Source organism: Homo sapiens, chromosome 3, assembly GCF_000001405.40.
Source record: "Homo sapiens chromosome 3, GRCh38.p14 Primary Assembly".
Classification (NCBI taxonomy): Eukaryota; Metazoa; Chordata; class Mammalia; order Primates; family Hominidae; genus Homo; species Homo sapiens.
In genome coordinates, this window is record NC_000003.12 from 26,426,232 (window position 1) to 26,440,789 (window position 14,558).

The 14,558-nt window shown below is 36.0% G+C and overlaps 1 annotated feature.

Moving 5' to 3' along the window:
- Window positions 11,263-12,462: an enhancer, noted in NCBI's record as "P300/CBP strongly-dependent group 1 enhancer chr3:26478985-26480184 (GRCh37/hg19 assembly coordinates)". NCBI's record gives its function as "activates an origin of replication core promoter dependent on BRD2, BRD4, P300/CBP, MED14 and CDK7 cofactors, with strong dependence on P300/CBP, by STARR-seq in HCT116 cells {active_cell/tissue: HCT116}" and the evidence as "EXISTENCE:reporter gene assay evidence [ECO:0000049][PMID:35650434]".

Sequence of the window (14,558 nt, forward strand, 5' to 3'; positions counted from 1 at the left end):
ATATTCCTATAAATAGAGAGTTCAACCTAGTGCATTTAACTTTTTATTTATAGATCATTCGCTGTTTAACAAAAAGTGGGACAGGGCAGAGACTTGAAGCTAAGTCATTAGGATTTCAAAATGAAGATAAAGAATCTCTGAAATCATAGAGTAAGTTTCTGGTGACTTACGATTTAGGTTACAAAGGCTGATTTATGCAGTGCTTTTCAGATATACATTACTGGTATATCTGAGTAAGGCAAAATGTAACTTGAATTTGAAAGTAAGAAACCATTTAATGTGGTATTATTTTCCAATGGACATGAAGAAATAAACCTTTTCTCAAAGTTTTCTCCCTATATTGCTCTTCCATCACTTGTCAAGCATAGGATCTACTTTTAGTTATATGTAATTTCACTTCAGGACATCATTAGCTGCATTTTACTTATGTTAGAAAAAGGCTCAGGATGCCTACACTTCCTTTCTTTGAAAAAAAAGAATAAGATATATCAAGGAATTGATATCAAGATAGGAGAATTCTTATAATGTGAGTTGAATGGTCTCAGTAAAGGTTCCTCTTAATACGTTTCTAATAAGAATTAAAGAGTAGAAAGAGGGCGAAGGGGCAAATGACTCCTGCCTAAAGGCTTTTTGCTTTCTTTCATACAGTGAATCAGTTACTAAAGAAAATGCTAGAATGGTTCTAAGAATCATCCAGATCCTCAGTCTTATTTTAAATCATTACCTAGTGATAATGATTCTACCAAGTTTGAAACCAGGCACACGAGAATGGAAGTGAACAAAACAAATTGGTGGCCCATCCATCTCTAGCTTTGAGTTAGCAAAGCTACTTCAAATTGCTTCTTTTCTCACTTGAAGATCTGTTTTTTGTTTGTTTCCTTTCAACAAAGCTATTCAAGGAAATGCAATGATTCCATGAGAACCCAGCTTGGTAGCTCAGCTTTTGGTTATTAATATAGTTGGTGCTGTGATGAACCAAAAAGCACAAAGTGCAAAGTGTTTCCCAAGATGAGACAAATGAATCTTCTTCCAAGAAGATGGGAAGCTCTGTGTGTGTGTGTGTGTGTGTGTGTGTGTGTGTGTGTGTGTGTGTGTGTGTGTGTATGAGAGAGAGAGAGAGAGAGAGAGAGAGAGAGAAACAGAGAGAGAAAGGCAATTTGTTAAAGGATATCCCAGTGGTCTTCATTTTCCTATATGGCTGACAGCTTTATTTAATTTTGGAAAGTGTTATTGAGAGATGTTTATTGGTGTAGATCCAGTATTTTGCTTTTTGAGAGAGTGGTTAGAAGCTTTTTATTCTATAGTTTTAGAATACCAGCTATCTCTGCATATCACTGCCATTCTGTTAGATAAATGACAATTATTTCTGATTTTATGAGCTGTTCCTCTTACCCTCAAAAAAGTGCTCTGTAGCATATAGATTTGTGTTTAAAATAAACAAAATAGAAATGAGACTATCGTAATACGTGCAAAAATAATTGTATAAACCCAGGTATCTCCAAAATGAAATAAGTTATTTCTCAACCTACACCACAGATACAGAGATAGAACATGAATTTGTATTGTTGCCAACTTTGATCTCTCTTTCTGGGAAGAGTTAAGTGTGTGTTTTAACAGGTTGAACCCTTCAGACTAAGAATTGGTAACAAATTCTTGAATATTGTTCTTCAGATTCGTTTTCAGCTTGCTCCCTGGTTTTAGCTCAAACAGTGGCTCATCCTGTTATACTTACAATGAACTAAAATAATTTCTAAGATTATGCCTCGAGTGATTTACATGTACCTTTCAGTTGTGGGCGTTATCCTCTAGTATAAGCTTTTTGGCTAAATGAAGTTTAAGTATCTATAATCCCTCACTCATTTTATTCCCAAAGTAGAGTGTGTTCATGTAGACAGTAATTGAACCATATTTTCTGAAAATGAAGTCTTGTAGAAGATATATGAATAAACCAGGTCCAGGTGAATATGCTTTCCTTCTAGCTTTCTCCTTTCCATTCATTCTTGCTACATGCTGTGTCTGTAGATTGTCTTTCTTCATATTGGAGCAGTGGTATTTTAGGTGGGGTCAGGGCTTTAGTTATAAGGAGGCAGAAAAAAAACCTTAGTCTGAGTTTGTTGTCAGCTTCCCGTTTAAGCTAGCTTCCATCAAAGAAGAGGGCTTAAAGCACTAACAATGAAATATAACTTTATCTTTTTAAATTTGGGTGTTTATTTTTGACTCTAACAGCCATCTCTTTGGAGAAGTAATTAGCTTCTTAGTAAAGGGCAAATTTCAGGTTGCCTTATATTTTAGCCAATACCATTTTAGTAGGCAGAATCATGATCTCCTATAGATGTCTTTGAGTATTCCTAATCCCCAGAACTTGTAATGAGCTATATCACACGGCAAGAAGGGATTCAGATTGCAGATAGAATAAAGGGTGCTAACCTTAATTAAATTCAAACTAGTGAGATTACTTTGGATTACCTGGTGAGCCCACTGTAACCACAAGTGTCCTTAAATGAGGAGGAGAAAGGCAGAAGAGGTAGAAGCAGAGAGATAATATTGTGGGAAAGACTGGCTTTGAAGGTGGAACAAGGCCACCAGACAAGAAATGCAGGTAGCCTCTAGAAGTTGGAAAAGGCAAGAAAATGGGTTCCCCCCTAGAGCCTTTAGAAAGAAAGGCCTTGCTGCCAGCTCCTTGATTTTAGCCCAGTGACACCTGTGTTGGATATTGGCCTTCCAAAATTGTAAGATAACACATTTTCGTTGTTTTAAACCACTGAGTTTGTGATAATTTATTACAATGGCAATAGAAAACTATACAACTATGAGGTATCATCTTAATCCAATCCCCAACCCAAACTCACTTTTCATATCTAACATGTTTGAGTAGCCCTTTTTGAAACAATGTGCACCAGTTACCTAGGATTCTAATGTCCTTAGTCAACTTCCTTTTTTCAACTTCACTTCCTCGGAGGGACCTCTTTTCATTTTTTACTTTAGTCAATAAATAACTCAATGTGAGAGACAAAAAATGAAATATTAACAGGGTAGAGGATCCCATTGTGGAGTAAAGAAACTTTATCATTTAGATTGGGTTGTTTGTATGTGTGCACGCACACAGAATTTCATCAATCTAAATGATGTAACAACACAAATTTGTGAAGAAAAGTCCCATACATTTTCTATAGAAGTTGATGATTTTAAAACAAAATATAGAAACATAAAATGAATTATGTTGCCCTCCACCAAAAAAAAGGACAAAGACTGAAAAAGTCCCATTATACCAAGAACTAGTTCAGGTCAATGAACTGTGGCTCACACGAAGGTCTTCTCGAAAAACAGCTGTATTTTGGGGGTCTTGGTCTAAAAATATCTGGCCAACAATTGCATTTGTAACTTCATTTGATATAGCACTCTGGCAATAAAGTTCCCCTTGTTTGGCTGGTAAATATTTTATCCCATAAAGCCTTGAATTTCAATAGGGCAATGATTATGAGATGAATGAAGCTTCAATACTTTAAAAAATATTGTATTTACACAGCGTGTTGTTTATAAGTTTTATAATTATTGTGATGCTTTGTTTATGCTTTGTGCAGATGTTTCTTTGATTCTTAGGATAATGGCTTATTACATTTATAAGTTTGATATATGAATTTATCCAAGGTTTTTAAATGCTTAAATTTTACTTTTGAAAGTTGTTTTTTCTTTCAGATACTTGAAGTGTTTGGACATATTAAGTTGTGTGATTTGACATGTTTAAGGAGTCTGTTCAACTAAGTGTGTAAATGGTTTTAATGCTTCCCAAACAAGATCTCCTAAGATCTTAATCCTTTACATTCATAAACAAATTGATCATTAATAAAAAAAAGCTTTTGCTCTTATATAAAACTACTATATTTTTTAAAAAGTAAGATTTTAAAGCTGATGCTAGAAGCTAAAGAAAAACTAAGTTTTGAAAGTAGTTACATTTAGAGTTTAATTATACGTTAAAGAGAACTAACCACAAATAGATATTCATGCTGTTAACCACCCCCGAGCCAGAAATTAAAAACCTTAATTGACAATTCATATGAGACATTTGAAGGAAGAAAGACATTTTGATGAATTTCAAGGATTCAACATTCATTCAGCACATTTATTGAATGCTTAGGTGTTAGGCACTGTGCTGAACACAGTGCAAAGGGCTTAAAGCAATGCTTGACGTACAGGATATGTTCAGTGAGTAAGGGCTGCTGTTGTTAATAGAAGCCACCTTTGGATCCCCAGTACCTAACAGTACTTGAATGTATATACGTGCATGTTTACATTAAGTGTATCTGTCTATACCTAGGCCTGTGTCCACGTCCATATCCATATCTATCGTTTTGCATCTAGCAAGTTTTTTGAAAGAGGGACTAGAAATACAAGAGTATGAAAACTAGTAGAGATTTAAGGAATTCCTTTGTTGACTCACAGTAGACACATGCATGCGGGTGTCCACACATGTTCAAATCTGGTATAAACCTAGAAACAGATTGTGACCAGTCTTTTGGAGGGAATGTGAAAACAAATCTCTGAAATAAGCAGTTAAAAATTAAAACAAACACCCACTTTTCCCTCATTTGGCACACTTTTTGATAAGTAGGAAATGGAGGCCTGGGACATGAGGTGACTTGCTCAAGAGCCCTCAGCACAATTCCAGTAGTAAGATTTCTGCCTTATGCTTTAGCCAGATTCTGGTAGTGATAACCCTACAAGAGATAATCTAAAAAGCATTAATCTAGAAACAAACAAACAAACAAACAAACAAAAAATGCTTCACTCATCTTTGTTAAGTGATAGGGCTCTGCTTTGCAGCTGCAGAGATCCTTTCCAGTTCGATCAACTTCAAGCTGAAGGGTACCTGTTTGTGTACAGGATAACTGGCCACTTGAATTCTAACCAAGTACTCCGAATTTAGTAAGTGAAACCCATTATGTCTATAAATAACATCATCATACTTGATAGTACACTTCATTCCTGTTATTGTTTCTACTTCAACCAATACATTGTTGAATGTACTGGTACATTATACAATACCTACAATACAATACATATTGAATGTATTGGTACATTGCACAACCAATACATAGTCCTGTTGAAATATACTGTGGTCTTTTTGAAACTATCAGAACATCAACCTCTAATAAATGCTGCACTCTCTTTACAGCCTTGCATTCAGCATCTGAAACAGGGCCAAGCATCATATACTGAAGGAGCAGGTTTGTTTGCTATGGTATTTGTCAATCTCTAAGTTATTTAGGCCTGAAATATCCCTGTTCCCCTTATAACCTATTCTAGTTCTATCTGTGTGAAGGTTTTAACCCTTTTTTGAATGTATTTAAATATTGACTTAATACTAGCTTTTGAGTATGAGTCTGAAAGTTCACCATCTGCTAAATAAAACGCAAACTTCTATGTATTTCCCCAAATGCTACTTTATCAAGTTCAAGGTGGTGATTCCTTTAGTATATAGATTATTTCCTTTCCTTTTATCCAAAAGACGGTCTATCTTTAGATCTGTTTTTAGTTGTTTCCTTCACTTTTAGCGAGTCCATATCCACATTCTTCTGAGCCTAACTGGAGTCACAAAATAGAAGTCAGCATTGTTTTAGAGTTTAGATAGCTCTCTTAGATGTGCTTACATTATTTCTATTTAAGCCACTTTGTTTTCCTTCTTGAGAAATGCTTTGAAAAGTTTAAAACACTTTCACCCCTATAATTTTGGCTCAGTTTTTCAGAGTACTAAATAAGATGCATGAAGGTGAATGCTTTTTTTCCCCTTCATTTCTTTTATTTTTTTTTAAAGATATATTCTGCCTCTTCTTTCATTTGTACAATTTCCACTCACTGGGGGATGTAAGCAGTTTGTATAAGCTTTTTTTTTTTATCTAACCTCCATTTTATTATTCTTTTCTTTGACAGTTTTATGTCCTTACTACACTTCTACCTTCATTTTTCCCTTTTTTGATTTCAGTAAAATCTAAATGTCATCATCTCATAAGTATATTTTTCTCAGTGTTGTCATGACTTTTAATCCAGCTGAAAATTTCTAATCCATGAAGCGTCTCCTGTGTGAATATCTGGGAATAAGAATGAAGGGTTAGTTAATTATAAATAGCCCCTTCTGTTCAAAGTTCTGTAAAACCTGGTTTAAAACTTTATCAAATGGTTTCATACCAAAATAGAAAGTCTTGTGTTTAATCAAAAGTAGAGTAATATTATTTTTAATTTAATTTATAAAGCTTAACAATTTCATGAAGCTAAGATGTTCATAGTAGAGATATAGACTATAGTAGCAGAGTGTCCATTACAAGTACAAGGGCCTGTGGATTCACCTTTCTGAGAAAACTTTGTCTTTCTGGAGAAAAATACACATCAGCCATTTAAGATCTGAACCTAAGAGTCATTAAAATTTCTATAAAAAATGCTCAACCTTACAGAAAATTAAAATGAGATGTAAGACATTGGAAGGGTTCTCTTCAGGAAATCTCATGGAAAGGTACCAATGAAGAAAGAGGGATCATTCTCTTAAGAAGAACATGCTTTTCCATGTGAATGTGTTTAAAAGATGCATTCTAGACAAGTGCCTTGTGACTATGAACCAGAACTACTAAGGAAATGGTTAACAGGTAAATTCACACTTTCTATGAAAATTTGAATTACAAAAGATTAGCTTTGAGAGACAAGGAACTAAAATTTTGTGAACTAGTCAGGTGGAAGGGAAAAAAATCTCTCCTAGTGAATGAATAGTCAGAGGGAAATGATGCTACAAAACAAGGAATAATTGTTGCCATAGCACATGTCTCGTTCCTGCTCTGGACTATGGAAGGGAATTGATATAAACACTGAATATAGAATATTCCCAAGGTCTTGTAAGGGATTAGCATAAAGCAGTTATAAGGACTATCTCCCCTTTAATGTACCCTGTCTAATGAATTGTTCTCATGTAAGGCATCGTGTTACAAATGGATGTTAGTTTTGGTTTACTTTATACTTTATGGTTTACAACGTGCCTTCACATAGTTTTTCCTCATTGGAATCTTACACTAGCTCTGGAAATAGGAAAAGCAGTTGCCATGTGACAGATGAAAAAACTGAAGCTCAGCGAGGTTATGTGACTTCCCATAGTCATACACTTGACATAGGCCAGTGCTTTTATTAAAATCTTAGGCTCTGATTCCTCACTTAGCTGCCTTTCCACCAACATCCTTTTCTTAAAATAGTTACTGTGGAAAGACTTAAACTCAAGGATCATGCACGAGAGATAAAACGAAAGACCAAAGAAAGGACAACATTTCATTATTGTGAGGTTCCTAGCGGCGATATTTCTTTACATCTGGTGTTGAAAAACTATGGCCCAGTGCCAATTTAGCTTACCACCTGTTATTGTAAATAAAGTTCTATTAGAACACAGCTATCTCCATTTGTTTATGAATCACCTTTGGCTCCTTTTGATCTACAACAGGAGAGTAACCTGTGACAGAGACTGTATGACCTGCAATGCCTAAAATATCTACTCTGTGACCCCTAACAAAATACATTTTTCAGCCTCTGCTCTAAATCCCTAGTAAATAGCGTATCATAGCATCAAGCTTATTATATTAGTTAATATTTACATTTAAGGAAAGCCCTTTAATTTTTATAGTACAAGTCCGTAAAAATGTTTTCTGATTTAATTTACTGAATCTTTGAGGCTCTAATTCTGGAAAATGTTATAAATATGCATAATTTATGGTCATAATGAGAGAAAATACTTCTAATGATCTGCCTTCAAAACTCAAACTGATAAAATGGCATCAAACATCACATGACTAGAATTAATAGAATTTGGAATCAAACATGAGGAACATATCATTTACTGGCTGATTATAAGTTACAGGATGATTTTTCCTTATGCATTGTTGTCCTGGGTCCTTTCAGGACAGAGCCAGCCATCATTTGCCTGCCATCATGTGGATGACGGCACCCCTGTGGGATTCATTTCCCTGCTGTGTCCAGATCAGATATTCTTATGAACATTAGCAACTAGGACAGATTTTTATGGTTATATATGATTATTTCTAACACCCAAATTTTGTCATTTTTAAAGTCGTAAGCATCAGCATATAGTCTGCCTTAACTTGTATATATAACTTTTTACCTTCTTGAAGACAATAACTATTTCATATTTGTATGTTCTTTAGTGGCATCTGCTTAGAGTCCATTAGTCTAGACAGTTCTCCATGAACAGGCTTGGAGAGCAACATTAACTTAGAATGTTCAGATGAAAACATTCTGTTCTTTGCTTGGTCTGTCAATCTCTGTTGGCAGCCGAGAGTTTCCTCCTTTATAGCAACAGAGGAAAAAAATAAAACAATTCCGAAGCATTTTGGTCCTTTCTTGATTTGGAACTATGAAAATGCTAGTTTATCCAAATTACTCTGTGAATTGTTATGTTAGAAGATAGTCCCTCTGCCCTAAAGACAGTCTATAGAACTGTAACAGAATTCCAATATATGAATAGAGTCAGGGAGGCAATTTGATGAGCAGGCAAAGTTGGACTCCTGCTTTCTTTGCCTTCTCTTTCTGTATTTCTTTTATCTCAATAGCTTTTCCTCCCAATTCCACCTTCAACTGCCTAGCGCTTGTGTGCTTACCACATCCCTTCTTTCCGAATGAAAAGTGGATCTGGGAATTTTAATAAAAACAGTCTTGGTTATATAATTAATTAGTTTTCTAAGAAACATTTCAACAAAATAATAAAACTTAATATATTCCTTTTAAAATAAAGCAAACAATCATAACAAAAAGTTTAATACAAAGTTATGAACCATTAAGGAAATATTTTGGGGACTGCTAATTACCCAATGGCAGCAATGTTTTAGAAAAAGAAGTTCTGGTTTTCTATAAATTGTATGACCACAGTGACTCCCTATGCATGAATGAGAATCATTCCATGTCTGGGTTGGTGGATAAGAAGATATAAAAAACCAAATGGGGCAAACTAGAATGGATCAGAGCCTGGAGTCTAGATTATAACAAAGGGTCTGACTGATACTTAAATTAACTCACAACAAAGTTAGATTTACCTGTACCTTAAAACCACAGGACAACACTGAGTCTCAATGCCAAGAGATTTCATGGACAGAGTAGTTTCAAACTACACCCATAGGTGCCAGGTTTTAAATTATAAGTAGGCAGGCTGTGTCTTAGCATCCTTGAGTTCTATTCAGACCGGTAAGGAGAGATATACAGCAAGTCACAAAATAAGAGGTCTACAGGTGTGTGCCAGAGTCTGGCTCTCTCAGAAAAATCTGGACGCATTCCCTTTGAAAACCGGCACAAGACAAGGACGCCCTCTCTCACCACTCCTATTCAATGTAGTATTGGAAGTTCTGGCCAGGGCAATCAGGCAAGAGAAAGAAATAAAGGTATTCGATTAGGAAAAGAGGAAGTCAAATTATCTCTGTTTGCAGATGACACAGTTGTGTATTTAGAAAACCCCACTGTCTCAGCCCAAAATCTCTTTAAGCTGATAAGCAACTTCAGCAAAGTCTCAGGATACAAATTCAATGTGCAAAAATCACAAGCATTCATATACACCAATAACAGACAGAGAGCCAAATCATGAGGGAGCTCCCATTCACAATTGCAACAAAGAGAGTAAAATACCTAGGAATCCAACTTGCAAGGAATGTGAAGGACCTCTTCAAGGAGAACTACAAACCACTGCTCAACAAAATAAAAGAGGACACAAACAAATGGAAGAACATTCCATGCTCATGGATAGGAGGAATCAATATTGTGAAAATGGCCATACTGCCCAAAGTAATGTAGAGATTCAATTTTATCCCCATCAAGGTACCAATGACTTTCTTCACAGAACTGGAAAAAACTGCTTTAAATTTCATATGGAACCAAAAAAGAGCCCACATAGTAAAGACAATCCTAAGGAAAAAGAACAAAGCTGGAGGCATCACACTACCTGACTTCAAAGTATACTACAGGGCTGCAGTAACCAAAACAGCATGGTACAGAGATATAGACCAATGGAACAGAACAGAGGCCTCAAAAATAACACCACACATCTACAGCCATCTGATCTTTGACAAACCTGAGAAAAACAAGCAATGGGGAAAGGATTCCCTATTTAATAAATGGTGCTGGGAAAACTGGATAGCCATATGTAGAAAGCTGAAACTGGATCCCTTCCTTACACCTTATACAAAAATTAACTCAAGGTGGATTAAAGACTTAAATGTAAGACCTAAAACCATAAAAAACCCTAGAAGAAAACCAAGGAATACCATTCAGGACATAGGCATGGGCAAAGACTTCATGACTAAAACACCAAAGGCAATGACAACAAAAGCAAAAATAGACAAATGGGATCTAATTAAACTACAGAGCTTCTGCACAGTAAAAGAAAATATCATCAGAGTGAACAGGCAACCTACAGAATGGGAGAAAATTTTTGCAATCTACCCATCTGACAAAGGGCTAATATCCAGAATCTACAAATAACTTAAACAAATTTACGAGAAAAAAACAAACAACCCCATCAAAAAGTGGGCAAAGGATATGCAGACACTTCTCAAAAGAAGACATTTATGCAGCCAACAGACATATGAAAAAATGCTCATCAACACTGTTCATCAGAGAAATGCAAATCAAAACCACATGAGATACCATCTCATGCCAGTTAGAATGGCAATCATTAAAAAGTCAGGAAACAACATGCTGGAGAGGATGTGGAGAAATAGGAACGCTTTTACACTGTTGGTGGGAGTGTAAATTAGTTCAACCATTGTGGAAGATAGTGTGGCGATTCCTCAAGGATCTAGAACTAGAAATACTATTTGACCCAGCAATCCCATTACTGGGTATATACCCGAAGGATTATAAATCATGCTACTGTAAAGACACATGCCCACGTATGTTTATTGTGGCACTATTCACAATAGCAATGTCTGGAACCAACCCAAATGTCCATCAATCATAGACTGGATAAAGAAAATGTGGCACATATACACTATGGAATACTATGAAGCCATAAAAAAGGATGAGTTCATGTCCTTTGCAGGGTCATGGACGAAGTTGGAAACCATCATTCTCAGAAAACTATCACAATGACAGAAAACCAAACACCACATGTTCTCACTAATAAGTAGGATTTGAACAATGAAAACACATGGACACAGGGAGGGGAACATCACACACCGGGGCCTGTCGGGGTGTGGGGATTTGGGGGAGGGATAGCATTAGGAGAAATACCTAATGTAAATGACGAGTTGATGGGTGCAGCACACCAACATGGTGCATGTATGCCTATGTAACAAACCTGCACATTGCACACACGTACACTAGAACTTAAAGTATAATACAAAAAAAGAAGAGAGATAAAAGAAGGGAAGTTGCTTCAGGTACATATGTTGCATATGCCATCCAAAAACCTAGTAGCATAAAAAACCCTTCATTATGCTCATGAATTCTATGGATCAGGAATTTAGACAAGGCTCAGCAGGAGTGGTTTGACTCTGCTCCATATCTGGGGCCTAATCTGGGGAAATATAAACATTTGGAGTGATGTCACAGCTAGGGCTTAGTATCTTCTGAAGGCATCTTGATTCGTTATATTCATCAGTGTGGAACCTATGATTTGATGACTTAGGAATGCTTGACTCAGGAAAGCCTGCTGATGAGAGCATATGCACATGGCCTTTTCATGTGACCCGAAGTTTTTTAGAGCATGGTAGCTTCAGGGGAATTGGACTGTTATGTATAGGTTCAGGGTTACAAAAGTTAATGTCCTTGCAAACAAGGCGTAAGCTGCATTACCTTGTATGATCTCGCCCACTGGTTGTAAGAATCACAAGGCAGCCCAGAATTAAGTGGGGGTGAGGACAGACTCCATCTTTTAATGGAAGGAGTGCCTAAGATTTTGTAAACAGGCCTACAATTTCCAGCTCCTTGAAACGTTAGCTCAAACTTTGAGAAAGCAAATCAAGGCTCCTAGATTAACCACAATTTAAGAAACCTCCCCCAAGGAGATAATGCAAGTTATTCTCCATTTTGATAATTTTTTATTTCTAGGCAGAAATTATCTTACACAATTCAAACATTACAGAACAAAGAAGACAAAATTTTCCCTTAATGCTGTGAACAAGAGGAACCTAAAACTTTAAGAAGCAGTTTATGATCTACGATGGGTAAGAAAAGGAACATTTTTTGCTGACTCACCTTACATCTAGAAAAACCCATTTTACACAAAGGCTGAGGTGTTCCAGAAGGGGAAACATAGAGCTGTAGCTAGGGAAGCTGGCAGATTGTCAAGGTGAGAGGATCGCAAGAATATAAAGTGAAGCAATCTGCTGGGAGCAATATTCATATTTGTACATATCACTGGGGCAACTAACGCACCCCTACCTGAAATCACCCAGAACTTGATTCCTTTTTAGTTACTATATTTCAGTGAAAGATTCAGATTGCTGGGACCTGACTCTTGCAGTTTCTGGTAGTCAAGGTAACATTTGTTGTTGTTTTTCAGAACAGCATACCACTCTGAACCATAAATCTGTAATTAATCCTCCAAAACAACTCGTGATGATGAACTGTTTGGCATTATCAATTTCTGTTTTCCTCCAGGTGCCAAATACATAGAGTTCTTAAAATGTCTCAATCAATCAAAATACTACTTTGGAATATTTCCTTTCTCTTTGAGTTTTCTTTTCTCTTATCATCTTTCTAAAATGGTGAAAAGGAGATGAATGAAGGTAAAGAAAACAATTCTGACATCTGGGGAATATAAGAGAAACACACTTAATTTTCAAAATTGAGTCTTATAATTGTAGCTTATGTTAGTGACGGGGTTTTGTATGTAAGTGATAGGCATATGGCAAGTTTGAGAAGGGCAAGTCCCTGATGTCATGTGTCCAAAATGAGTGGAAGTAAAGAAGAAACACTTGTCCCAGATTATACTATTGCTCAATATCGAAGTCAGTTAATGATTACCTGGCCCTATTGGAATACACAGAGCTGGAGCAATTTCATCTGTAGGAATTATTTGGGCTTCTGGCTTAGCAGATGTAGAGGGTCTTCTGAGATATGCAGATTCTTAAAAGAGTTGAGGGTCATTTTTACTGGGGAAAATTAAAAGAGCAAACAAAAAGTAATGAGAATTGAAGAAATCGCCTATTCTCACACCTAGGGTGTAATATGACTGCTTAATCATCATTCAGGTGGATGTTCTCATTACTTTACAAGAAACAATCAGGACTGCATGACCACCAGCAAGGTTAGGCTTTAAATAGTAAATGTGAAGGATGCCAGAAAGTAGATTGAACTGTATTTCTATGCTTCACACACCACACATACACACACACTTCCTCACTTTTGTTAGTCTGTTAGGATCTCACAACCCAGCACATATGGCCTACCCCAGTGGGTCAAGCCAACTTTTATCCACCTGGATCAGATTACACAACCTTCTTGTTTACATTGCAAGAACAAACTTGTAACACAAGTATCGAGCCCAGAAAATATCTGTCATCTTAATTTCCAGAAGTTAACTATGGAAAACATATCGGCAATTTCTTGGCGGTTGGTTTGGATTGAGGTTGGGAAGAAGCAGCCACTGCTTTAGGATTTTCCTTAGAGATAATAAGTGTCTGCTATGTGCCATAGTATGTGGTGAGTGATTTAATACACATTATCTCATTTAATTGAGGCATTATAGAGAAAACTGAGGCTCAGAGACATGCAGCAAATTCTGAAGGTCACACAGATCATGCAGCAAAGCTGACTCTGGGTCCAAGGAATTCTAACTCCACCTCAGGAGCTCCTTAAAGCAGTGTCCCTGTCCAGGATTACCTTCTCACTTTCACCAGTCTGTTTAGGGCTCATCCAGCATATGCTGATTTTTCCCTCCTCCATTCTTGTGGATGTGGGCCTATACCTCTTATTCACCTATACCTCTTATTAATACTGTTATTAATATAAAACTACATAGTTTATTCATTTTAACTAATAGTATCCTATCATATGACTGTAAATGCTTCATTATCCATTTCTCTAATGATACTAACTTAGGTGGTTTTCAACCTGCACTGTATTGCCTGCTTAATTTTTTTAACTTTTGTTTTCAGAGAAAACTAAAACAATCTTTAAAATTTCAGAGAATAATGTGAAAAACACCATTGTACCAAATACTCAGAATTAACTTTTATTTACTTTTTATAATATACTTGTTGGTCTTGTAAAAAATGAAGGATGCACCAATAAAGTTGATCTCTGTGCCTGAACTTCAGTCCTACTTCACTCTTTCCATTCCTAGAGTGATTCATCACCATGAGTTTGACATATATTCTTCCAGTACTTGCTTTTATACTTTTACTTCATATACATTTTTCCATAAATAGTACATAGCATTGTGTGTATTTTTTTAAATTTACATACTCTCATACAATGTATTTTCTATAATTTGCCTTTTATCATTAATATCTTTTAGGGATACACTTATTAATATAAAATTACATAGTTTACTCATTTTAACTAATAGTATACGATCATATGAA